Consider the following 25,323-nt stretch of genomic DNA (forward strand, 5'->3'; position numbering starts at 1 on the left):
TTAGTACTGTCATGATGATGAGTACTTTGTGAGATCTGGTTGTTTAAACACATGTGGTACCTCACGCCACTCCCCACCTGCCTTGTTCCCACTTAAGCCATGGGATATGCCTGCTCCTGCTTCACCTTCTGTCATAAGTAAAACCTCCCTCAGGCCTCCCCAGAAGCCAAGCAGATGCCCACACCATGTGTGCACAGCCTGCAGAACTGTAAGCCAATTGAACACCTTTCCTTTATAAATTACCCAGTCTCACATTTCCCTGATTCCAAAAGTGAAGTTTATTACTATGCTACTGCTACCACATTAGAGGCAATTCACCATTTCCACCTGCTAGTGCAGAGCTTGTGTTATTATTTAAGACTAAGAATGGCCACTGAATAATTCATTCAGCCCGTGGCTCTTTCATGTTCTGTATTTTGGATTTGTGGTAACTTGGTATGGAATTAAATGGTTGAAAAAATACTTTTGTTAATTTTGGAAATCAACAGAAGTTATTTAGTTTGGTCTTTTATTCTTCCTTGGGATCTTAAAATAGCCTTATTCAAAATCTGTAAAAGCCCTGGCCCCCATTCATACAGAAGAAGAGCCCGTGCCCCTTACTGAGGCCTCATGGCCTCCTTAACTCAAAGGCTCTCCAGCCACCTCCACCTGAGTTTGGTGTGGATGCATCCTCTGGGCACCACAGCTGCTCCTGCCACACTGAGAGGCTGAGCCTTTTTGGAAGGTTTGTGTTTGGGGCCTTCACACTGTGCAGGGCCCCAGTGAGTGTCCTGCTCACAGGAGTCTGTGCACTGTCTCTAGGCTCCACACTGACAATTATGCAAGTGAAATCAATCCAATTTTGGTTAAATGTGTGCATGTGTATTCAACTTGTTTTGCTACAAAGCGGCCTGAGTTTTCTGGCTGTTCTGCTACCTGTATTTGTTAGGCATCTGCACACCGGCAGAAAGAATCAAGATGAGCTTTCATTGAGCCTTTCCTCTGGCAAGATGTGGCTCAGAGCCCACTGCATCCTCCTTTCTGCTGTTGTTCTGCCCTGCCGAGGCTCTTGCAGCTGAAGGGGACTTTAAATGTGTCACATATTCTTCCATTGTTAAATGTGAGATAATTTGTTTTGCTCTGCAGGAAAGCTTCATTCACTTGAAGAAGGAGATTAAAGATTTCTAAAGCAGGATGCTAATCTTTTGATCTTTGTGCAATTTTGTTATTAAACCTGTCTCTTTCTGAGAGTAAAAGAGGTATAATTTGATTTAAAAGTTTCCAGCTTTAACATCTGTCAATGTAAGCCTTCCAAAGAAAATTCTGGCACTGCTCAAGTCAACTAAATATTTTCTTATGAACCATCAGTTTTGCTCCATGTAATTTTCCAAATAATCCCCGCAATCCAAAACACACACACCTCTTAGAAGACAACTAAGGAGATATCCACGAGGCTTTTGTATCATTATTTCTAAAGATGAGGAGTTAGAGACAATCTGGGTATCTATTACCAGGAACATAGGTTAAATGTAGTTGACATCTTGACTGGATCATCAGGCAGCAATGAGAAGTAATAGACAAGTTTCACCCTTAACAACACTGAAATATTTTAACTCATACATCTCAGTAGAAAAACAGTGAGCATAATGACATATTTCACAGGATGATATTTACATAAAATAAACATAATTGTGCACATACGATATGTATAACACATTGAATGGAAAATATACTAAAAATACAAAACAATAAGCAGAGAGAAATGTTCACTTCTCTAGCCCCACACCAGCCTCTCCTTCTCCCCTGGCTTCTCCTAGCCTAGAGCTATCCATCAGCACAGGGAAGGAATATTATGTGCAGGCCCCAAGCACTCTGAGCTCAGGAACCAGCTTTTTGAGGAAGGCCTGGATATGCCAGGCATTCAGCTCCTGGCAACCTGGAAGCTATGGAAAATCATAGCACCTCTTTCCAGGGAAAAGAAGCACCAAACTTCAGCCAGTTTGTTACCAGGCAACTGAGAAAGAGCCCTGGGGTATTTTCTGACAACCCGTGAATTATTTGGCCTCCACCCCCTTAAGAGAACCTAAGGAATAACAGTCCATTTCTAACCTTCTTCTCTGCCTCCTTCTATTAGATCCTAATTCAATCATGCACCAAGACAAGTCAAAGCCTTGGTGGGCATATCAATCCTGATGTGTGACATTTTATTCACTTTTTTATTCTGAAAGTAAGTATCTTCTTAAATTTTGCATCTATATTATAAATCAATGTAATATATGTATTTATACAGAAATAAATATAACTTTGTTGTTATAATGCATGACTTTAAATTGTGATAAATTGAGCAGGAACATTTAAAACCAGCAATGGGTGCACCACTCCATGGCTCCTTCCCCACTGCAGAGCCCGAGAGTGAGGAAACTCAGGCTTTACCTCCATGTCCCTGCAGGGCTGAGCACTGACCTGCTCATTGCTGAGAACTTTGAGTGACCAGAGCGGGTCTGAGGAACACAGAGCAGCAGGTGCCAGGGAGACAGGCGGTGGAGCTAGGCGGTGGAGGAACATTTGGTGCCCAGAGCTTCCTGTGGGCAGGTCCTTCCCATAGGGGATCCTGTCAGACAGAGCAGCACATGAGGTCAGTGGCTGTGTGGTCACAGGATGAAAGCCCTCCACAGCCTATTGGCAGCCTCCCCTCTGACTGGAGCCATGTGGGACCTATCGGCCCAGCTTTCACGACTCACACAGCTGCTGGAACCCTGTTCACAATGGGGTTCCTTGATCAGCTTCACTGCTGATGGCCAGAGTGATATCTGTCCAGGCAGTTGAACCCTGACCCGGGCAGGTGTTGCATCCACAGAGAACCAGGAGCCAACAGGAGCTCAGAGCTGGGCCTGTTTTCTGCGGGAGCCAAGCAAAAATAGAACGCTCTTAACACTCTGGCCGGCCCTACAGATGACAGTGGCCTTCTCTCTGGGGACATAGGAAAAGGGGTAAGAGATGGAGTGCACACAACATACCCACTGGCATCTATGTCGGAAACAAACATGAACATCCCCAAGTATTAATACCAAACAAGTAGTTCATTCAGTTTGATGAAGTTCTGATCAGAAAGCAAAACAGGCTAACCACTTCATCTTCAAGGAGACATTCTAGTAGAAAATGCAGACAAATAGGATGAAGCCTGCATCTGCCTTCCTCACTAGAGAATCAGAACAGCAGGAGGAACAGGAACAAAGCTGGGTGCCCATGTCCATGGGGAGCCTCTGGAGGCCTATTCTGCTTGGAGCTGGCAAGGATGGTGTAGTAGTCCACTGGGACTCCAACACCAAAATGGATATGGCTGGACAACTTAAACTGCAGAAATTAATTTTTATATTTCTGGTGGCTGGAAATTGCAAGATCAAAGTCCAACAAGGTTCACTTTCTGGTAAGGACCTTCTTCCTGGTTTGGAGATAGCCACCGTGGGTAGAAAGTTGAGTTAGGGGCAAGAGGGAGGAGAGAGAGAGAGAGAAAAGGAGAGCTCTCTGGTTTCTATTCTTATAAGAACATTAATTCTATTGGATCATGGTCCCATCCTTTTGACCTCATTTAGCCTCAATTACCTCAATCATCTCCTACAGCTGCATAAGGGGAATAGGGCCAGGCTTGCATTCTCAGATCACAGAGCAAAGAGGGGTTTCCCCACAAGACAGCACGCTGGAAGCTCCTCCTGGGTGCTCCAGGTCACACATGAGACCCCATTTCAGCCTTAGGGGCTCCATGTTGATAAGCAGACATCATCACCCTTACAATGCAAGTAATATTTTTAGATCATGGCAATCTCTTTGGTTTATTGTGGGGTTTGTTTGCCATCTAGAGGCAGGTCTTTGACATAGCAACGTTCAGGATTTTTGACTTTGTGCTAGTGAAAATTAATTTTTTTTCTTTTTTTTATTATTATACTTTAAGTTTTAGGGTACATGTGCACATTGAAAATTAATTATTAAACATAAATAATGAATTAAACTTAATACATTGATTGTTTAAGAAAAACCCAAAGGCCATCAAAGGGCTTAAAATGGGTATAAAGGGATAAAAAGACAGAGTCCTTCCAAAGGAGGACTGTCTGTCACAGATGAGTCTTTTTTTATCAAATGACTTTTTAGCAGTAATTCTCAATGGTAAATGACAACTTCAGGTAGACTGCCACAATATAATCACATATTCAAAAAAATTATTTCCAGGAATCATGTAAATACATTTTCAGATTAAAAACAACAAAAAGTGTGAGTTTCTCACAAGATTCACTTGGTGAAAAATTTCACAAACCTGTGCTTTACACAAAAGAACATTTATCCCTGGTGGAAAACTGGAGTTTTCTTTGGCCTTTAGAAGAAAACAGCTTTCCCTTCACTCTGCTCCACCTCATGCTGCTGAGGATGGCCGTGGGGGCAGAGACTGTGAGGAAGGAGGAGGGCTGTGCGCTGAGGGTGGTCGTGGTTCCTGCCCACCTGAGTGACCTCATGGAGCAGAGCCACCGACACCACCAAGGCCACCTGCCTGCCTCTACACTGCCATGGCACAGACAGAGAAACCTTGTCACATTCAGTCCACCATATTTTGAAGCTTCTTTGTAATACATTTGATTATGCTCTGATTCTCTTTGTATCCCTTTCCGTATTTGGAATCATTTATTTTTCACCATTTTGACTTGAGAGTATCGCCCCTTGAGGTATCAGCACCATGTAGGCTGTATGTTTGTTTGGTTTTTAAAGGTGTCCAACCACCTTGAGTGGTTTGGGCCTTTTCCCCTGTCTCACATCAAAGCAGAATCTTAGGTCACTAGGTGCTGTCAATCACTTGATGGCCAAAGATGGTGATGACAGTGGTTAGTTCCTGCCCTTGCTACTTACGCTTGTCTTCTCTCCCTGCATTCTGTAATAACTTTTAAGCTCCATGATGAATTAATTAGCATTTTAAACAGTGTATTAAGTGTCTTATGTTTCTTATTTTCACAGTTTCAGTCTGCTTGATTTCTATATAAATATTGCAATGTCTACTAAACCCAACAGAAATGGCGCTTCGGAATTTTAATTGCACTTGCCATGAAATCCATTATCTTAGAGTAGAAAATCATCTCAAATATACTTTAAACCTTAAATCTGAAGCAGGAGCTTCTTGTTCTGTTGCTTCAATCATTTTGTGTCTATCACACAATATTGTAATATGTAACTGACATAGCTCATCATTGAGCTTGATAGAATATTATAACACTAGAACACTATTTTACATGGAATCTATTGAAATAATAAATTTTCTATGTTTTTACAACTAAAACATATGATCCAGATTCATTTTCTGGTAATGATGTTATCATAAGTAAATAATACATTTTTGTAACATTTGAAACCTTTTATTATGATGACATAGTACTAAATTTATCATCCCTAAAATAGTACTTAGAATAAATACTTTTACAATTAGAATTTGGTTGAGGAAAAAAAAAACCTCTCATATAATTCTGCATTTTTCCTGTGGCATATTTAGTAAACTCTGTGTTTTTCATCTTTCAGTTTATGCTGCTTTTTTTTTTTTTTTTTTTGACAGAATTTCGCCTTGTAGCCCAGGCTGGAGTGCAGTGGCACTATCTCCAGCTCACTGCAACCTCCACCTCCCAGGTTCAAGTGATTTTCCTGCATCGGCCTCCCAACTAGCCGGGATTACAGGTGTGTGCCACCACGCCCTGGCTAATTTTGTATTTTCAGTAGAGACCGGGTTTCACCATGTTGGTCAGGCTGGTCTCGAACTCCTGACCTCAGGTGATCCATCCACCTCGGCCTCCCAAAGTGCTGGAATGACAGGCGTGAGCCACTGTACCCGGCCAGTGCTGCTTATTTCTGAAGCTCACTTTTGGAGTTGCAAGAACTCCCTCTTCACTGGGAAAAACGTAATTGAGGCAAATCAAAATCTTTTGGCATTAAGATTTATATCTGCCATGGATTTACAAAGTCTAAGAATAGTCAGAAATCAAACATTTTTTTTCTAATTATTCTTATCCATACTCCCCCTGAGGACAGCTTGTATAGAACACGTTCTCCCACATGACACTGGAAAGTGCAGTTTAGTGTGAGTAGTAAAGTGAAATAGAAAGTAAGGAAAGTGGGAAAATACCAAATTCGCAATAATTCCAAATATTATCACCAAGTATTAATTTGTGTAAAATAAACCCCAAGCTGGTCATTTGCCACATGTATTCCACCTGTGTTGTCACTAAACTGCATCTATGTTCTGGCTGTTATGCTGATTGAGTGTACTCGGCAAACGTGGGCAAGACAGGCAGGGTGAGGATGAGCCTGGCAACTGATAAAGCTTTGACCATGTGGGACTGAGGTGCTGCTGAGACTCTCATGGGCCAGAGTCCTCAACAGCAAGCCCTGCCCCTGAGTTCTCCAACAGTCTCCTCTTCTGCAGACTCAGAGTCCCTGCTGAGCTACTCCCCAGACAAGCAGTGCAAGTGAGCAGCTGGGACACCCCAGCAGGGAGGTTTCTGTATTGGTCTGTACCACTGTGGGAGGAAGGTGTATACCTTGCATTCAGTAATAAACCCCAACATCCTCAGCCTCCACCCGGCTGATTTTCAGTGTGAAATCTGTCCCTGACCCGCTGCCACTGAACCTATCTGGCACTCCAGAGAACCGGCTGGAAACTTCATAGATCAGGAGCTGTGGAGACTGGCCTGGCTTCTGCAGGTACCAATACAAATAGGTCTTTCCATCACTATGCAGGAGGCTCTGACTAGACTTGCAGGAGATGGAGGCCGGCTGTCCAGGGGTGACGGACAGAGAGAGTGGAGTCTGGGTCATCACAATATCCGCACTGGATCCTGAAATTATGAGAGAGAAGTGCAAGGTTATGTGAAAGCATAATGAACAACTTTTGAGATTTGCCTTATGATATTGATTTATGGCTAATCTTTTATTTTTACAAATTTGTATTCATATCATAAAAACAAAATTTTAAATGAACCCTTTATTAAATAGGCACAAGAGTTCTTTCATTTCTCAAGATATTATTCAGAGCACTGCTTTTAGGAGTTTTCAAATCATCATCAGGGCAAAATATGAATTCCTCTCCCTGGAGCATAGGGCATATTCCTTTAACACATGGTTAGAATAAACACGGGAATCAGTGGGGCCGCCAGAGCTCAGCCTCCCACCCCCTCCTCCTCCCTCATCTCCTTCCATCCTTACCAGGGATCCAGAGCATTAGCAGCCCCAGGAGCTGAGCAGGGAGCCTCATGGTGAGAAGATGAACTGAGAAGTCCTGATCAGTCAAGGCAAGGTTAGAGCTGAGCTTTTATCTCAGGCTCACAAGGGAAGGTCCTCCCTAGGGGACAATATGCAAATCACCTGGTGGGTGCAGTGGTGTGGAAAGAGCCATTGGGTGGGGGGTGAAGGGGGTAGATATGTCTTCTCTGTGAGCAATGTGATATAAAGTGTCCCTTGGAGGAAACTAATAAAACCTAATTCATCATAGAGGAGGAAGAAGGACCTGAATTTGAAAGTTTCAATCTTGGGCAAGTAACGTTTTATAGGATGTCAGGGCTTCCAAATTCTTGTCAACTCTGAGGGTGAACCCTTGTCTCCCCCTGGCCTGTATGTGGCACAGCCACAGCCATGACACCACAGTTCAAAATGAGATTCTCTATGTAGGAAGAGCAAGAACTGGATCCCTGGTTTTAAGTCTCAGGGTCAGCAGTACTATGGACGACATTTTCCTAGGTTTTTATTGAAAGATGATCACAGGTCAGGCATATGAATCTACCACACAACTCATCGTTACAATAGGAAAACAACTTGAGTATTCTTCATTTGTCAGTGATGTGCTTAATATTGAATTTAGCTGCTCCTGAATAACGGTGCGTACATCAAATCACTTCACAGAGACTGCCACTGTCCTGAAAAAAACAACAAAAATCCTGGGAGCAATTAAAAGAATAGTTTCTAGTGCTATGTAATCTTCAGTGATTTAATACAACATCTGATTTACTTGGTAAAGAACACACACCCAGAAAAGCAAAACAGAGCTCTAGGTGTTTTGCACACAAAGCTTGTCCTGATTATCTTCCGGGAAATGCACTGGCATATGATGTTTTAACAAAGTTGGTGAAAAAAATTGAGTAAAAATGATATTGACCTTAAAACGTTGAACGTCATGGCAGTAACCTAAATTGAGAATATCAAATTGTAGTGTGGAAGTAGGATTAGAATAAATGTATCATATTTCACTATTTAAATTTTTATTTATTCTATTCTTTCATCACTTTTTGTAAATCTTATGTGTTTCACTTTTTTTTTTTCTTGAGACAGTCTCTGTCTGTTACTCAGGCTGGAGTGTAGTGGTGCAATCTCTGCTCACAGCAACCTCTGCCTCCTGGGTTCAAGCAGTTCTCATGTCTTTGGAGTAGATGGGACTACAGGCATTCTCCACCATGCCCAACTAATTTCTGTATTTTTAGTAGAGACGAGGTTTCCACATGTCGGCCAGGCTTGTCTCGAACTCCTGGCCTCAAGCGATCCACCTGCCTTGGCCTCTGAAAGTGCTGGGATTACAGGAGTGAGCCACGGTGCCTGGCATTGACTTCTTTTTTCTTGTGATGCTGAGCAGGTCAAATATGGTTCTTAGCCTTGGAAATGTCAAACTCCTAATTCATCATAATAGTTAAAAGAGTCAGAAACATCAGATGCTGAAAAGAAAAATAAAAGTAAAGACACAATCTAAAAGAGAACATTAAGGTACATCTTATCACTGGTATAAACGGATTAGTCTGAAAAGGTGTTAACTGAATAATCAGTTCCACCCACTATCCTATATAGAAACTTGCATTGTGGGAAAACGAATAACAGTAATAAATCTGTCAGGCTTGCTTTTACTATTAGTCAATTCTTCAAAATCTTAGTTTTACAAAGTATTCTTTAAGGTGCTGAATTTCAGAGAGTACTGCTGTTTCCTTTGAAAATTAATGACAGAGCTTTAAAAAGTTTACGATTGGGATTGGTTGTTTTATCTCATAATCTCTTGTCATTACATATCTGAAAATGTAAAACCTTGTAAAAAATTGTTTCAATCATAAAAAGGCTCTGAAATTACCCTATACTAAAGGCCTTGAAATTACCCTACATTATTAAACTTAGAGAATAATATTCTTAATTCTAAAGAGGAACCCCTCTCTCCTGAAGGTTTAAATAGAGTACACAGAGGCTTCACAACAGCAGACAAAGCTGGTCGCTCCATGCTGGACACAGTTAAAAAGGTAGAAGAACAGCCTCTATTTGATTCAATTGTGGAGCGGCCTCTGTATTTCTCGAATCTGGACCATGATCAGTCGAATGAGGAAGGACTCATCCGGGTGGGGTTTATTGCATCTCACTTGCCAGATGCTGTTAGTTTGCAGTCCATAAAATTGAAGGCAAGTGTATTATTTGTATGACTTGAGAAGACAGCCTCGGAGGTGGAATTGTGTCCATTATGCTGGAGTCAGTGTTTGTGGGGTGGATAGTGTGGTCCTGTTTATAGAGAGTTTGAAAAATTGAGGTTCTGATCAAACAGAAAGAGATGTCCATAGGGTGGCAGTAGCACACATGACTGTTGTTGGGTGAAGCTTTGACAGATTTGCCCAAAGGAGTCCCTCACAGCAGGAGACTGTCTAGAATGAAAGATGTTGGGGCTGCTACTCAGAAAAGGTGGAGAACAAGGGAAATCCTAAGGTAAAGGAACATTGGAGAAAGGCATTCTCTGTCTAGGGGTAGCCAGACAACAGCTTAATCTGGGTCTGAGATATCCAGAGGGCAGGAGTGATTTGCAATTTTCATCTCCTGGGGCTTATCTTACCTACTGCTAACAGATGTGGGTGAGGTTTCCTGTGATATGAAAAGCAAGCATTCTCTGAATGGCTAAAAATCTTCTTTCGGGCTGGGCGCAGTGGCTCACGCCTGTAATCCCAGCACTTTGGGAGGCCAAGGTGGGCAGATCATGAGGTCAGGAGATGGAGACCATCCTGGCTAACATGGTGAAACCCCATATCTACTAAATATACAAAAAAATTAGCCAGGTGTGGTGGCAGGCGCCTGTAGTCCCAGATACTCAGGAGGCTGAGGCAGGGTAATCGCTTGAACCCGGGAGGCAGAGGTGGCAGTGAGCAGAGATCGTGCAACTGCACTCTAGCCTGGGCAACAGAGCAAGACTCGGTCTCAAAAAAAAAAAAAAAAATAATCTTTGGGCTGTTTTTGAAATGATTGGATTGGAAAACTTGAGTGTGGCACAGGCCATTTAGAAATAGCCTGCAGTTTAGAAACACACCACATAGGGGCAGTTTGCACTGGCCATCTTTAGCTCATTTCTACAACACTGTCACACATTCTGTAAACTTTTTTCTGCCGACTGTACTTGTCCAAACAGGGAAACTCACACTGTTCTGGAGGAGATTGAGACATACAGAGGCCTGTTCTCCACCTGGACCTCAATGGAGGTTTTTCCTGACTAAAAGTGAGAGTTTGCCCCTGTGTAAGAGGCGGGCGGATCACGAGGTCAGGAGATGGAGACCATCCTGGCTAACACGGTGAAACCCTGTCTCTACTACAAATACAAAAGATTAGCCAGGCGTGGTGGCGGGCGCCTGTAGTCCCAGCTACTCTGGAGGCTGAGGCAAGAGAATGGCTTGAACCTGGGAGGCGGAGATTACAGTGAGCGGAGATGGCGCCACCATACTCCAGACTGGGTGACAGAGCGAGACTCCGTCTCAAAAAAAAAAAAAAAAAAAAAAAAAAGACCAAGTCACCTACAAAGGGAGCTTCAGTCTCTGACGCTGCAGGTCCTGTGACTAGATTCCTGGCTCCAGACACCTGAGATTGAAGCTGTCTGCATTATCTCACTAACTGAAAATTGTCACCACTGGGGCATAGATTCATGGATAAATATTCTGGTACACAGAGAGCTCAGGGAATGAAGGCTTCTTGTACGTCTATATCTTGTGCTTCTGAGAATTTCTCTCTCTAAAAACTGGAGAAAACAGAGTTGTTTACATGTTTGACCTGGAAGGCAACATGTAACATGTTTCTGAGTCTTCAGACCCTGTTCTAACCTGCCAAATCTGAAACTGTTTCTAAACGTTTGGATTATTTGTCTTTCCTTTTGCTTAAAAAAAAATGGAAAAAAGTCCTATAAAACAACAGACTGAGCTGTGAGATTCAGTGCTGGAGTTTTCCTTCATGCATGTTAATCTTTCTGCAGAGCCCACCTCACCAAACATCAATACAAAAAGCGAAACAATAATTCCATTGCCTCCCTGGGCCTTCTGCATCTTATAAGTTCCCTCGAAATTCTCACCCTTATAGAAAGTAGGTCTCTATAAAACCACTCCTCAAAAGTAGGTTTCTAGAAAATCACAACTTGCCTGGAAGGTTATTAATTTTTTCCACCATGTGAACATGAAAGTTGTCTTTTTGACCTTATATTAAAGCTTGGTTTAATTGAGAGGTGGAGGGTGGAGACCCCAAGAAGATTCTGGGGACGGAATCGGGAATTTGAGCCTTTTAAACTGCAGTGGAAACTGCCTGTGATGTAAAAATTTGTATGAATATACCAAGAAGACAAATAAATTTGTTTCTTACTTTTTAATTTAGAGAGCATGGTTCACCTACAGAAAAATTAAAATTATAATTTGAGAATTTTGACATTTATTACTCATTTTATATTAATTTTAAGATCAACAAAATACTCATATACATTTTGAATGCAGAAATGTTAAGACCTTCAGGAAAAAATCAGAGACAAAATCAAATCACTTAATTTATAAAATCAACAGAAATTCTCTTTTAGCCTCTTCCTGTCAACTCCTGTTCATAAAAATCTAAAGTTCAGAATAAGAAAGAGGCAGGGGCTGAACAAATTACCTGGTGTTCATTCCTTGTTATAACAACAATAATGGTAATAATAACAATAACTGCACAGCCTCTACATGGACACCTGGAAATGGTGACTCTGCCTTATGGAAGCAGCAGCTTCATGTCATAGTGGTAAATTTCACTTTTACTGGTCCTTTCTTGGCCAGGAGTCAACGATCACCCAAAGTTCACATGCGCTATGAAGCATTAACTGTGCTCAAATTTCAGTACTTCTCCAAATTTGTTTTTCTAAAATATATCCTAGCAAGAAAAGAATGCAAGATCAGTAATAAAATAAAGTTAAATAAAATAAATTTTAATCTCCTAGAAGCAGTCAGGGCATGAAATTATAAAGTGTAACAAAGGACTATAGATATGACTGTGTCTTAGAGACTTACTTTACCAGCTCTTACTCCTATTTAATGTTCTTACCCTAGAAAATGAAGAATATCGTCAACCTAGAAAATGACTTTTTGTATTGTGAAATCCTAGCAGTCCTAGGTAGAATTTAAAGCCTAATATGAGAATCTCTGTTATCCGCTTATCCCAGAAAATCTGATTGCACAAAAAGTGTCTATATTTAGCACATTAAAACAGAAAACCTATTGATCCTGTGGAATACTGTAGCAAATATGTGCAAGTTTATGATACTCATGAATAGACCTTTAAACTTGAGCAACATCTTTTGTTTCCAGGTTGATGCTAAGGTATTAAATTTCAGTAAAAGTAATTTGTCTTGAGCTCAAACTAGCTTATAATATTTGTCATTACATACAGTTCAGCTTATTCAGAACTGGTAAGAAAATATGACATCATGAGAAAACTGTTATTAAATTTGCCCCAATATTAATATTTGCAGAGAGACTGAGAGGCATGATTTGCACAACCGTATTCAAGATATTAAAATGTTTAATGGAATAGGCAAATCCATAAAAGAAATAAAAACTTTAGACCAGGTTTAATATACTTATCGAGAATTTGACTTGTGTAGCCTACTGAGTTATTGACAGAAGGACTGGGTAAGAGTTGGTGCAGTAGAAGTCAGGACATCACAGTGTCAACTTTTACCCCTTCCTCATTAGAAAGCCAGGCCAGAAACTGCCCTGACACAAGGAAAATTATCAGAAAATTCCTGGAGAACTCTTTGTGACTGCCTGGTCATACTCTGGCTATGGTTGGGAGGCTGACCTCTCCCAGCTGGTATTGCACTGCAGCTCATATTTCTGGGTACTCAGCTCTATAGCTGCCATCAAATGGCATTAAATGGTTTACCCAAATCAATAAGGTTACGATAGTATGTGCTTCATAAACTTGGAGAGAATCAGAGTTCCTGATGATAGGTATATGTATTCCATTCCATTCTGTTTCATGAGAGTCTTTATTTAAAAAAATGAAGGAAGCTCACAGCGGCCTTTTTGGAATCTAGAGGCAACAGATTCTACACCGTGGAATACTGGTCATGTCACCATCCAGGTGACATGGAAGTCTTCCCAGCCTTTAGTGGAGACCCAGGGCAGAAAAGGGCTCTGCAGCAGCTCCAGCCTGCACTGTAGGCAACAGTGTCTCTTGGGCCCATGCAGATACAGATGACTTGCCAAAGCCATCAACCATGTGGGTAGGATTGACACTGAGAGAACACTCTGCCACAACAGCAGACTCCATAGCCATTTTAAAACATTAGCTAAGAGAGATCATGCTTTGGGCCACAAGTTATTTCAAAGAAATTAAATGGATTTAAATCATATAAAATAAAGTTTCAGAAGCCAAGGGAAATTTATTAGGAATCAATGACAGAAAGCTATCAGAAAAAAATCTCAATATTTTAAAACTATGTAACATACTACTAAATAAAGCCTGGGACAAAGATGAAACCAAGAGATGGACATTTCAAAGCAATCTGAAGTGAAAGAAAACACATATCAAAAGTTGTGGGATGCAAGAAGACATTTAATTTATAACACCGAATTTCTAGAAATATTCATGCATTTTAGCAAATAAATTTTCAAACCGATCCCCTGAGCTGCCACCCTGACATACAAGTACAAGAAGAGCAAATTGTGCTCAAAATACTTTATTCTTAAAAATGTGGGCATGTGATGAGCACATGTCTAGTATTGCAGCAAGGAAATCACATCAGCCTGGAAATAAAAACCCACATTAGCAGCTTCACAGGAGAAAGTGGATGGGCAGAGTAAGTAAGTGTGCAGAGAAAATTGGAAGAAGATAGGAAAAGTGAAAATAGGAATTGTGTGTAATATTAATACAGGCTATGCATGTGTGAGACTCCTGTGAGCTTTGACTTGCTCAAAAGCAAAAATCATGCAGTGCAGACAACTTTCAATCCTCAGAGTGTTGGTGAGAGTGAGGTCATTTGGCAAAGGGAGGACAAAGTGCCCCGAAGGTCATCAGAGGCAGCAGGTGAGGTCACGACCCACCAGGATCCCGTCCCAGTGACGTGAACGAGCATCCCTGAAGCCATGAGGGCAGCAGGGAACTTCATGGTTGCTCCAGAGAGGACATGGCAGCCACTCCCTGGAGAGTCTGTGGGGCCTGAACACCCTAAGTTGGGAGGAAGGAAGAGGCTCTGGGAGGCTTCCTGGGGGCCCTGGCCCTGTTCGCACAGAAGTAGAGCCCATGCCTGTAAGTGAGGACTCATGACCTCCTCTTCAAAGGCTCTCCAGCCATCTTCACCTGAGCCCATCTGCTGTGGACTCCATCTCTGGGCGCTGCAGTTGCTGGTGCTGCACTGAGAGGCTGAGCCTCCTAGGGAGGCTGCGTTTGAGGCCCTCGGGCTGTGCAGGGTCCTGGTGAGTTTTCTGCTCACAGGAGAACGTGCAGCATCTCCAGGCTCCAAACTGGTGCCTGTGATGAAGAAATGAATAAAATTTTGATTGTATGTGTGTCCTTACTTTTTGGTATGTGTAAAAATATACTCTGGAGACTTGTTATTAATTTTGTCTTATACACCACTTGCTATAAACCAAATTTTTACTGTATATGTTGTCTGTCTGGTTAAAACTACAGATTTAATTATGCTTGTCATGGAATACATTATCTTTAATAGAAAATTATCTCGAATGTAACATATTTCTTTAATCTAAATCTGGATTACTTTATCCTGTTGATTGCAACATTGTTTTACTTTAGTCATACCACACTATAGGACGTAAATCACAGGCTCATTACTAATTCACAAATATTCATAGAGAACTATTTTAAATTGACTCTATGGAAAGCATACATTTTTTATATCACTATTGTTAGAATGTGGGAATCAGGTTTATGTCCAAGTACTGACAAGGTACAGTGAAAATAATACATTAATTTATTGTTTAAAAATGTTTTACTTTTTTTGACTAAATAGTACCAACATAGTCACTTCTAAAACTTTATTTGTGTTTAAAAAAAAATGAAGGGAATCTTCATTCCCAGGTACAGCAATGTAGATAGAAGTGGAAAGGCCAAAACAACCACTGCAAAAGGTACAAACCATTTAAAACAATAGAATACCAAAGTTAGAATTAAATGACTTTAGAAAGTAGTGGAAGGAATAAGGAATGAATGATCTAAAATTCCATAGTAAAAAGAACCTTTCATTGTTGAGCTGATGCTCACCTGACTTTTTGTCCTTCTGCCATAGCCGCCAAGTTTGCCTGTGGAAACAAGCTCTGACTTGGTACAGGCAGAGGAGCTCTCCTGGGAAAGGAGAATCCAGCTGAGCCTTGGGGGTTGCACAGGGCAGCCTCTATAAGTGGCCCGTGCTTTCCATGGGACACATGTTGAGGTCTGAGTCAGCAGGCAGGGATGGAGGTGCTGGGCTACAAGGACATAAAACTTCCACAGATTCAGCATGCTCCCCCAATCCCCAAGGCTACACAGATACATGTATCCCGAATACATGTCTGAATCATGGACACTGGTCTCCATCCCCACTGCGCCCCCTGCTGGTGTAGACCCTGCTGGGCCTTCTGCTCAGCATGTCAGTGCTTGTGACATCTCCAGACCCAACCAGCAGTCTCTAGGGACAGAATGAGTTTCAGATGCTCTGTTTGGCTGTGTGGGGTTGACAAGATATGAGTGACATGACCTCAGGTCTCCTTGCACAGGGATTTCACTAAGCCTTTGGTGATTACAGATCTAAAACCCTTCCCAAAGCATTATTTTCCCAGAAAATTCGCAGTGATGCAGGCTCCACCCAGGAAGCCAGGTAGTGGTGCCTTCAACTCTGTGATTCTTCACAAGAAACACATCAGGCCTCCTGGGTCCACATCATGAACTGCCAACTCCACCACCATCCACATCCCTACCTACCAAAGGCCAAGGGTAGTTTAATTGAAGCTGACCTCTCCTGGGTTTCCTTCATGCTTTCATCCCTAATGTCTGCCCAATCTTAAATTCTTAACATTTGGAAATAAAAACGTTCACATCATTCTGTACTTTTCCAGTTTTCTATGGGAAAAATTATATACTCTACATTTTCCAGTATATGCTTTTTATTTTTGAAAACAACTTCTGGAATTTCAGGTACTCCTTTTTTCTATCATTAAGAGGTAACTAAGGCTAACTAAACAGTTTTAGCATTAGGATCTTGTATCTTCTATGAATTTACAAAAATCTATTTGATACTCCAAAATCAAGATTTTTACTGACTGTCCTCAGCCAGCTTCCGCTTAGGATAACTGGTATAGAATGCTGTCTCTACTCTATTTTGGGAGTGGGAGAAAAGGGGAAGCAGGAAGTTAGAAAACTGGCAAAATACCAACATTAAATATTATCAAATGTCCTCTGAACAATATGCCAAAAACTGCTAAACCCAAAGATGTATCCAACATGGATAGTCACAATCTGTGTCAATGGCCTGGCTGCTCTGCTAATTACATTTAATTAACAAATGGACACAAGGTAGGGAGAGTTAGGGTGAGCTTTCATTCTCCTCCCCCTTCCATCTTGCTTGTTTACTCACAGGGCACTTGGACCCCTCATTCTCCTGCTGCTTATGACAGTCAAGGTGGTGGCAACTGGCAGGGCATAAAGGAGTGGTGCCTGAGGTGTGGCTGGGCTCTCAAAGTCCAGAGTCCTCAGATGTGAATTGTTCCCTGGTTCTCCAGCATCTTCCTCTTACACAGATTCTGAGACCCTGCTGAGCTGCTCCCCAGACAAGCACCACATGTGGGCAGCTGGGCCACTCCACAGGGAGGTTTTTGTTCAGGGCTGTACCACTGTGGGAGGCCAGTGTGTACCTTGCATGCAGTAATAAACCCCAACATCCTCAGCCTCCACCCTGCTGATTTTCAGTGTGAAATCAGTGCCTGACCCACTGCCGCTGAATCTGTCTGGGACCCCAGAGTCCCGGTTAGAAACCTTATAAATTAGGCGCCTTGGAGATTGGCCTGGCCTCTGCTGAAACCAATTCAAGTAGGTGTTTCCATCACTGTATACGAGGCTTTGACTAGACCTGCAGGAGATGGAGGCCGGCTGTCCAAGGGTGACGGGCAGGGAGAGTGGAGACTGAGTCATCACAACATCCCCACTGGATCCTGAAATAAATAGAAAGAAGAGCAAGGTTATGTATAAAGTTTATGTGTAATTTTCATAAATTTTGATTTGTTGTTTATTTCAGGCTATATATGTATTTGTTCATATTTCAAAAATACACAGTTTCAAAATGGAACTCAAGGGATCCAAGGCTCAAAGGGGTCTCCAGAAGACCCCACACCATCCCCTTTCTGTGTCAGTCTTCCCCAGAGCACAGATCCTTGTTTCTGCTTGAATCTTCCTCACTCTCACAGATCTGATCATCACATGCCCCACTCTGGAGGACAACATGTGCATGTCCAATACAGGAAAGGAACACACATAGGAGTGTAGTGAGACCCCCAGAGATCACTGTTGTTAGAGGCAGTGGGGCCCCAGAACTCACCGTTCCATGCCATTCTCCTCCCTCATCTCCCTTCTACCCTTACCTGGGACCCAGAGCATTAGCAGCCCCAGGAGCTGAGCAGGGAGCCTCATTGTGAGAAGGTGAACTGAGGAGTCCTGATCAGTCAAGGCAAGGGTAGAGCTGAGCTTTTATCTCAGACTCACAAGGAAAGTCTTCACTAAGGGATAATATGCAAATCACCTGGTGGGTGCAGTGGGGTGGAAAGAGCCAAGGGGAGGGTAGGAGCCTCTCTTGTGAGCAAAATGACTTAAATATCTTCTCTGTTTGGAGGGAAACGAATAGGCATAAAATCTATGCTGTCTATGTTGGAGAAATTTAAGTATTTCCTTCTGTCTTCCCTAACAGATTTCTTGTTTCATAGTACTCTCCCAGGCACATTTTATACTTCTTGTTAATAAGGCCATGTTTCCACAAATATTTACTAATTCTTATGTTTTTGTTCATTTTTGTTTAAAAGAGTTCAGATTTGGCCCTTTCAATTTTTTAAAAATTTAAATAAAACACACACAAAGTAAAAGACAGAAATGTTAAAAAGTGCAACCGAATAAAGTTTTACATATATTCTCCACCGAGATTAAACTGTAGAATACTGCAGAATCTCCAGATTCTTCCCTCATGTACCTACCTTTCAGGAAACAGCTGTTTCCCCATCCCAATCAAGGAAACTGGCATTCTGACATCTGTCCAAATAGATTGGCTTTCCCTATACGAAACCTCATATAAACGGAAGTAAACATGTTGGTTTGGTCTAGCTCTTTTTTTGTTCCCTTAGTACTTTTGAGGCCTTCCTTCCTCCTTACAGATTCAAGTTACTGTCTGCTGTCATTTTTTGTGAATCTGAAGAATTTCCTAGATAAATTGTTATACAGCATGTCTTTAAGTAATTATTTCTCTTCATTTTTGTTTATCAAGAAATGTTTTTACTTTACTTTTATTTTGAATGCATACTTTCACTGGATATTGAATCCTAGGTTTTGTTTTGTTTTGTTTCCCTGCATTTACATATGTCATTCCGCTGTTTTCTAGCCTCCTTTGGGCACGATGAAAAGTTAGCTGATGGCTTTATCACTGTATTTCTGTATATAGAGAGTCATTTTATTTTTGTGCATTTGCGATTTCCTCCTTGTCGCTGGTTCAGCATTTTAATTATAATATGTATAGTTATGTGTATCATTGTGTTTGTCCTGAATAAGTTCTTTCAATTTCTTTTATCTATAGACGAATGAGTTTCATTGCTTCTTGAAAGCTTTTGTCATCCCTCCAAAATTTTTTTGGCCACTTTCTCTGTCTTCTCCTTTCTGACTCATTGCATATTTCTGGTCTTCTTCACATTGACTTGTAAACCTCTAAGGTCATGATTATTTTTCTTTAGTCATTTTCTTTCTTTTTCAGATTAGATCATTTCTACTAAATTGTCTTCAGGCTCATTGATGCTTCTGCCAACTTAAACTCCTGTTGCCCTATCTAGTGAATTTTCCATACTGTTTTTATAGTTTTCATCTAGAATTCCTATTTGTTCCTTTCCCATAGTTTCCCTTTCTCTGTTGAGAGTTCTCATTCTTTGAGTAATTGTCTTTATATTTTCCTTTTTCAGTCCTTGCTCATAGTTTTGAATATTCTTTGAAGCATTTATGTGACAACCACTTAAAACTCTTAGCAAAATCCAGTATTTAGGAACAGTCAAGAGTCAGCTTCCACTGACTGATTTATCTCAATATGGTTTATGATTTTCTCTTTCTTTTCAGGAATTTTAATGGAAAAATGCCGGTTGATAATATATTTTTTATGTCTCACAAATAATATATAATTCTGCATTCTGTTTTATTTTTCTAAGATTGTTGAATTTCCTCTTAATTGACTGGTCTTATGCTGCAGAATCTATCCCTTACTAGCTGTTTGGCGATTGATATTTCTGATTTTTTTCATTTTAAGTTTTAGCCAGAAGCCCTACCTGTGTCTGCACAGTTTGGTAATCACCAGTAACTTAGGCATTTGTGTTGCTCAAACTCCTTGACCTCAATAATCTACTTTCTGCCAATGTATATGTGTGTGGCTTGAAGCGTGCCCATAAAAGACACCTCCTTCACTTTTATTCACTGGGCCCACTTGGGTCTCTGTCACTCAAATATGCAATTTCTAAGTCACATCTGCTCATTCTAAGAATGTGTGCAGGGATGATCTCTATAATTCTATGACTCCATGGTTTCCAGTAATCCATTATCAAGTTTTAGCTGGTGTACCAGTCTCCCAGGGTCATCACCTTGGACTTGCAAAACTCTGGGCCTTTTCTGGGCATTTCCTGCAGAGTTCAGCACCATTAGCTGAAAACACTGAAGGATCTTGTTCTACTCTCCAACCCAGCTCAAGTCAATCCCGTTTGGCAACAAGCTTCCAGTTGTTGCTGCCATTTCAGCTGGTAAAACTACAGTTCTAAAATTCTTGTTGACGAAGCTTGGGTGAAAAAAAGCAGTTCCAGGCAAAAGGCCATAGACTTTTCCTATCTGTTAGTCCGAGGTGCACCATTTTGTAAGCCCCCCTGCCATTTTGTAGACCTTGGTTAAAGTGAAACATTACACGGGGGGTTGGAACTGTGAGAAACATCCTGCCTAACCACGTGAATACAGGAACATCCCTATCGTCTTCTGCTGGACAGTGGGCCCAAGAAACATTCTTATCACGCCCCGCTGGGCAAAAGGCCCAAGGAACATCCTTGGCAAAACCGCCTGACCACAGGAACATGTTATCAACGTCCTGCCGGGCAGCAAGTAATACCGTCTAGACCCCTCCCGCCCATACCTATAAGTACCCCAGCCTGTAAGCGGCAGCGGGTTCTGGTATTAAGCTAGTCCCCCACCTCCACAGTCTTGTGCTGGACATAAAACCTGCTTTGCTGTAGAGCCGCCAACTCTCTCTCTGTCTTTCTTTAACCCTTCCCTTCCCTTCAAAACCTAACACTGTCCTTACCCAAAGCTCTCATCCTTTTCAAGATACAGCCATATCTCCTTTTATTGTGTTTTGCTTTACTGTGCTTTATAGATACTGAGATTTTTACCAATTGAAGGTTTGTGGCAACTCTGCCTCAGGTAACTCTTTTGGTGCCGTTTTTCCAGTGGTAGGTTCTTACTTCCTGTCTCTATGTCAGTATTGCTCAGCAATAGTTTTAAAAAATTAAGGTATGTACATTTTTTAGGCATAACACTATTGTACATTTAACCGAATACAAGATAGTGTCAACATAACTTTTATATGCACTGGAAAACCAAAAAATGAGTGTGACTCCCTTTATGATAATAGTCATTTTATTGCAGTGATTGGAAACTAGACCAGCAATATCTCTGAGGTATGCCTATAAACATGTCTCAATTTCTTTGATGTCTTTGGCAATTTCCAGAGCAGCCACAGTGACGAGGTCTGGAGCGAGGGTGCACTTGCAGTGATGGTGGGTCTGGGGCTGGGCATGGGCTAGTCCACATAAAGGTGGCTTACTGTCTGAGTTGCCAGGGCAGGGTGAGACCCGGAGGCCTGGGTCTGGGGCAGTGCAGAGGGTAAGGTTGATGCCAAGGGGCTGGGAGGTAGCCCTGTCACAGGAGAGAAAACAATGGCTCCTCACTGCGGAGTGCGTATAGCAGCATCTCCCTCTCTGGGGAGTGTGCGACTATGGCTGCAGGTAACTGTCCAGGCAAAAGCACCAGTGGCCCCTGTGGAGCAGGCTGCTGTGATCCTCGACAAGAAATATTAAAGGGCCTCCACTGGGAAAGCTGAATGGTGGGGGATTGCCTGGGTGGCTGCTGAGGTTATCAGCAGCAAAGGCTGCAGGGTCCTGCCACAGAGCAGGCTATGGGGCCCACAGTGGCACCACCGTTGGCTGATAACAATTGCTTCCCCTTTCTTTGTTCCTAGAGGTATCAGGGCTCTCAGGTGTGCCATCAGCTTCCAGCCATCCTTTGCGTGTGCTTATTCTTGGCTTTTTACTCTATCATGTTGCTGCATGTTTGTAATTGAACTCTTCAGCCCTCCCAGGGTATTGGCCTTCTTGGATAACTGACTAATTGCTGGGTTTTGTGAGGGCTGAAGCCTGGTATCTCTTACTCTGCTATCTTGCTAACATCAGTCCCCAGGACATCATTTTGGTGATGATATTTTGAATTTTGCCCTGACACTATTATGGAATAATACTTAGACTTGATGGGGTGAGAATTAGAGCATTTAACATGTAAGAGGGATATGAATTGTTTGGGCCACAGGGTTGACTGATGCCAGTTATATCCTTCAAGATGGCTGTCACAAGGCCTACCATTCTACAGGTTCCTCTAAAAGTGTGATCTCTGGGTGGGGTTTCCACGATGCCATATGCCTATCTCCCCCCACAGTTAATCAGAATTCTGAATCTCATATTCTTTATAATTTGACTTTCCTCTCTGTTAATTTCTTCTATATGTATTCATCAAATAATATTTTTAATTTATTTGTTTAAAACCCTATAAGAAGGAATTCATACAAATAAAACCTAATTCATGAATCTTTGTCTTTGTGCCTAGTGCTTTGTGTGTTCTCTTTAAGAAATTTATTTCTGCACCTGTTTATGATATATGTTTTTATGCTCTTTACTAAAAGCTTTATTATTTTGCCTTCATATTTCATTTTATGATTCATTTAGAGTTGATATTTATATAATATAGAGGTGAAATATAGAGGTCAGGATTCATTTTGATGTAATATAGATATCTTATTGATCCAATACAGTTCACTTATTATATATTTTTCTACTGATCACTGCTCTGGTCTGAATGTCTGCATCTCATCCAAGATTCCTGTTTACCCCATGCAACAGGATTACAAAGTGGGGCCTTTGGGAGCTGATTATTCATGAGGATTCCACCCCGGTGAATGGGATGAACGCCCAATAAAAGTGGCTTCACACAGAATTTGTCTCTTTTGCCCTTCCACCTCCACAACGTGAGGACACAGCCACAAGCCACCATCTTGGAAGCTGGAGCAGCCCTCATGGTACAAAAAGATTGCCAGTGCCTTGACCTTGGACTTCCCAGCCTTCAGAACTGTGAGAAAGTACATGTCTCTTGTTTTAAATTACCTGACCAAGATATTTTTCTCTTTCAGTATGCATCATCTATGGTAACAGTGTTTTTTTCTTTTTTTTTTTTTTTTTTTTGAGACGGAGTCTCTGTCACCCAGGCTAGAGTGCAGTGGTGCGATCTTGGCTCACTGCAATCTCTGCCTCCCAGGTTCAAGTGATTCTTCTGCCTCAGCCTCCTGAGTAGCTGGGATTACAGGCATGTGCCACCATGCCTGGCTAATTTTTGTGCTTTTAGTAGAGATGGGGTTTCACCACGCTGGTCAGACTGGTCTCGAACTCCTGACCTCGTTATCTGCCCACCTCAGCCTCCCAAAGTGCTGGGATTACAGGCATGAGTCACTGTGCCTGGCCCGTGGTAACACTTTTATCATAAATTGGGTGATTACATATGTGCGGATCTGTAGTTACATTATTAATTAGTGTTATTTGTAACAGGGTTTGATATTGCCTGGTGTTATTCCTTCAATTTTGTTCTTTTTTTTTTTTTTTTTTTTGAGACAGTCTTGCTCTGTCACCCAGACTGGAGTTCAGTGCTATGATCTTGGCTCATTTGCAACCTCTGCCCCCTGGGTTCAAGCGATTCTCCTGTCTCAGCCTCCTAAGCAGCTGGGACTACAGGAATGTGCAACCATGCCTGGCTAATTTTTTGTATTTTTTTAGTAGAGTCAAGGTTTCACCATGTTGGCCAGGGTGGTCTAACTCCTGACCTCAAGCGATACACTTGCCTCAGCCTCTCAAAGTACTGGGATTATAGGCGTGAGACACCATGCCTGCCCTGTTATTCTTTTTTTGTTTTGTTTTGTTGTTGTTTTTTGTTTTTGTTTTTTTGAGATAGATTCTGGCTCTGTTCCCCAGGCTGGAGTGCAATGGTGCGATCTCAGCTCACTGCAACCTCCACCACCCGGGTTCAAATGATTCTCCTGCCTCAGCCTCCTGAGTAGCTGGGATTACAGGCATGTGCCACCACACCTGACTAATTTTGTATTTTTAGTAGAGATGGGGTTTCTCCATATTGGTCAGGCTAGTCTCAACCTCCTGACCTCAGGTGACCTGCCCACCTCAGCCTCCCAAATTGCTGGGATTACAGGAGTGATCCACCACGCCCAGCCCGACCTGTTATTCTTATGCAAGATTCCAATGGCTATTTTTGTCCTTTTTAAATGCATGTGTGATATGTATGTATCTATATATATACACACACACTCTCTATATATATATTATACACATACATATCACTATATATATACATACACCATATATAGTGTGTGTGTATATATATATATATATAGTGCGTGGTATGTGAGTACATATATATATATATATATATATATACTATATATATATGAAACATCATTTCAATTTCACAAAAGTCCTCTGGGATTTTAATTGTCACTGTATTGAATTAATTAAGGGAGAATTATGTTACTCACAATATTAAGTTTTATAATGCATGAATGTGGTATAAACTTCTATTTATTGAAGTCTCCATTGTTTTCTCTCAATAACTAAGCAGCCACCATAGTAGCTTCCCATAAGTAAACAGAAGGCTTGAGGAAAAAACACCAGCTGTCTTGTGGAGGTTTGGTTTCCTGTGGAATCACTGTGGAATACCCACCACTATGCTGATAACAGTGTTAAAGTGCAAAATCTTCATGCTCCAGCCTGCTGATAATGAGACTGAAGTTTTCCCCGAACCCACTGCCACTCCACCAGGCTGGGACATTGGTGGTCCTGGTGGATGCACCATGGATGAGGAGCCTGAGAGCCTGTCCAGGTTTCCACTGATACCCTGCTAAGGAGCTGCTAATAGTCTACTTGGCTCTGTAGGTGAGGGTGGCTTTTTCCCCTAGAGATAAAGACAGGGAGGCTGGAGACTGTCATCACAAGTTCTCTGGTGGTATCTGAAATTGGAATAAAAACAGAAATGTCACACACGTACACTACATCATACCTATTGTCTTCCCAGTGCATCCAGGACCATTGATCTACATTGAGCTTTAATCATTGTGCCTTCCCAGCAGGTGTGCCAGGTAACAGGACTCAACAAGGTTGAGAAAGTTTCACTGACATGCAGAACCATCCGGTGTTTCCTGCACCTGGGAGCCAGAGTAACAAGAATCAAAGCAGCTGAGCTGCAGCTTCCATGGTTCCCTCTGGGTCCTAACTGAGCTGCTCTTTCACAGACCTACCCCCACGGATTGATATGGGCTCTGGACAGCAGGGTGGCTGGGAGAGACATGCATAACAGCCACAGATGGCGCTGGGCTTCGAAACTGCAGAGACCACCTGCCTGGTTCAAATGATTCTCCTGCCTCAGCCTTCTGAGTAGCTAGGATTACAGGCACCCACCACTATGCCCGGCTAATTTTTGTATTTTTAGTAGAGA

The 25,323-nt window shown here is 41.9% G+C and overlaps 1 long non-coding RNA gene, 2 pseudogenes, 1 gene segment (V, D, J or C) and 1 further gene, besides 6 other annotated features; 1 reads left to right on the forward strand and 4 right to left on the reverse strand.

The window, feature by feature from the left end:
- IGK (immunoglobulin kappa locus) overlaps positions 1 to 25,323 on the forward strand; it is a 1,378,008-nt gene that overhangs the window by 370,293 nt on the left and 982,392 nt on the right.
- IGKV2-29 (immunoglobulin kappa variable 2-29) lies at positions 6,532 to 7,258 on the reverse strand (annotated as a pseudogene). The gene is given in 2 exon segments: positions 6,532 to 6,842; positions 7,210 to 7,258. Coding segments are annotated over 2 exon segments (360 nt in total).
- Positions 6,832 to 6,842: a sequence feature (IGKV2-29 leader sequence).
- Positions 7,210 to 7,258: a sequence feature (IGKV2-29 leader sequence).
- On the reverse strand, positions 13,831 to 17,107 carry LOC107985910 (uncharacterized). Its single transcript, XR_001739586.2, has 2 exons — positions 15,517 to 17,107; positions 13,831 to 14,763 (listed from the first exon to the last, which is right to left on the reverse strand). It is a non-coding gene; the product is annotated as an uncharacterized LOC107985910 (long non-coding RNA).
- IGKV2-30 (immunoglobulin kappa variable 2-30) lies at positions 17,128 to 17,913 on the reverse strand. The segment is given in 2 exon segments: positions 17,128 to 17,438; positions 17,865 to 17,913. Coding segments are annotated over 2 exon segments (360 nt in total), but the record flags the coding sequence as incomplete, so codon positions are not given.
- Positions 17,428 to 17,438: a sequence feature (IGKV2-30 leader sequence).
- Positions 17,865 to 17,913: a sequence feature (IGKV2-30 leader sequence).
- Positions 24,545 to 25,082, reverse strand: IGKV3-31 (immunoglobulin kappa variable 3-31 (pseudogene); annotated as a pseudogene). The gene is given in 2 exon segments: positions 24,545 to 24,838; positions 25,044 to 25,082. Coding segments are annotated over 2 exon segments (333 nt in total).
- Positions 24,828 to 24,838: a sequence feature (IGKV3-31 leader sequence).
- Positions 25,044 to 25,082: a sequence feature (IGKV3-31 leader sequence).

The sequence above is a fragment of the Homo sapiens genome, chromosome 2 (genome assembly GCF_000001405.40).
Source record: "Homo sapiens chromosome 2, GRCh38.p14 Primary Assembly".
Lineage (NCBI taxonomy): Eukaryota > Metazoa > Chordata > Mammalia > Primates > Hominidae > Homo > Homo sapiens.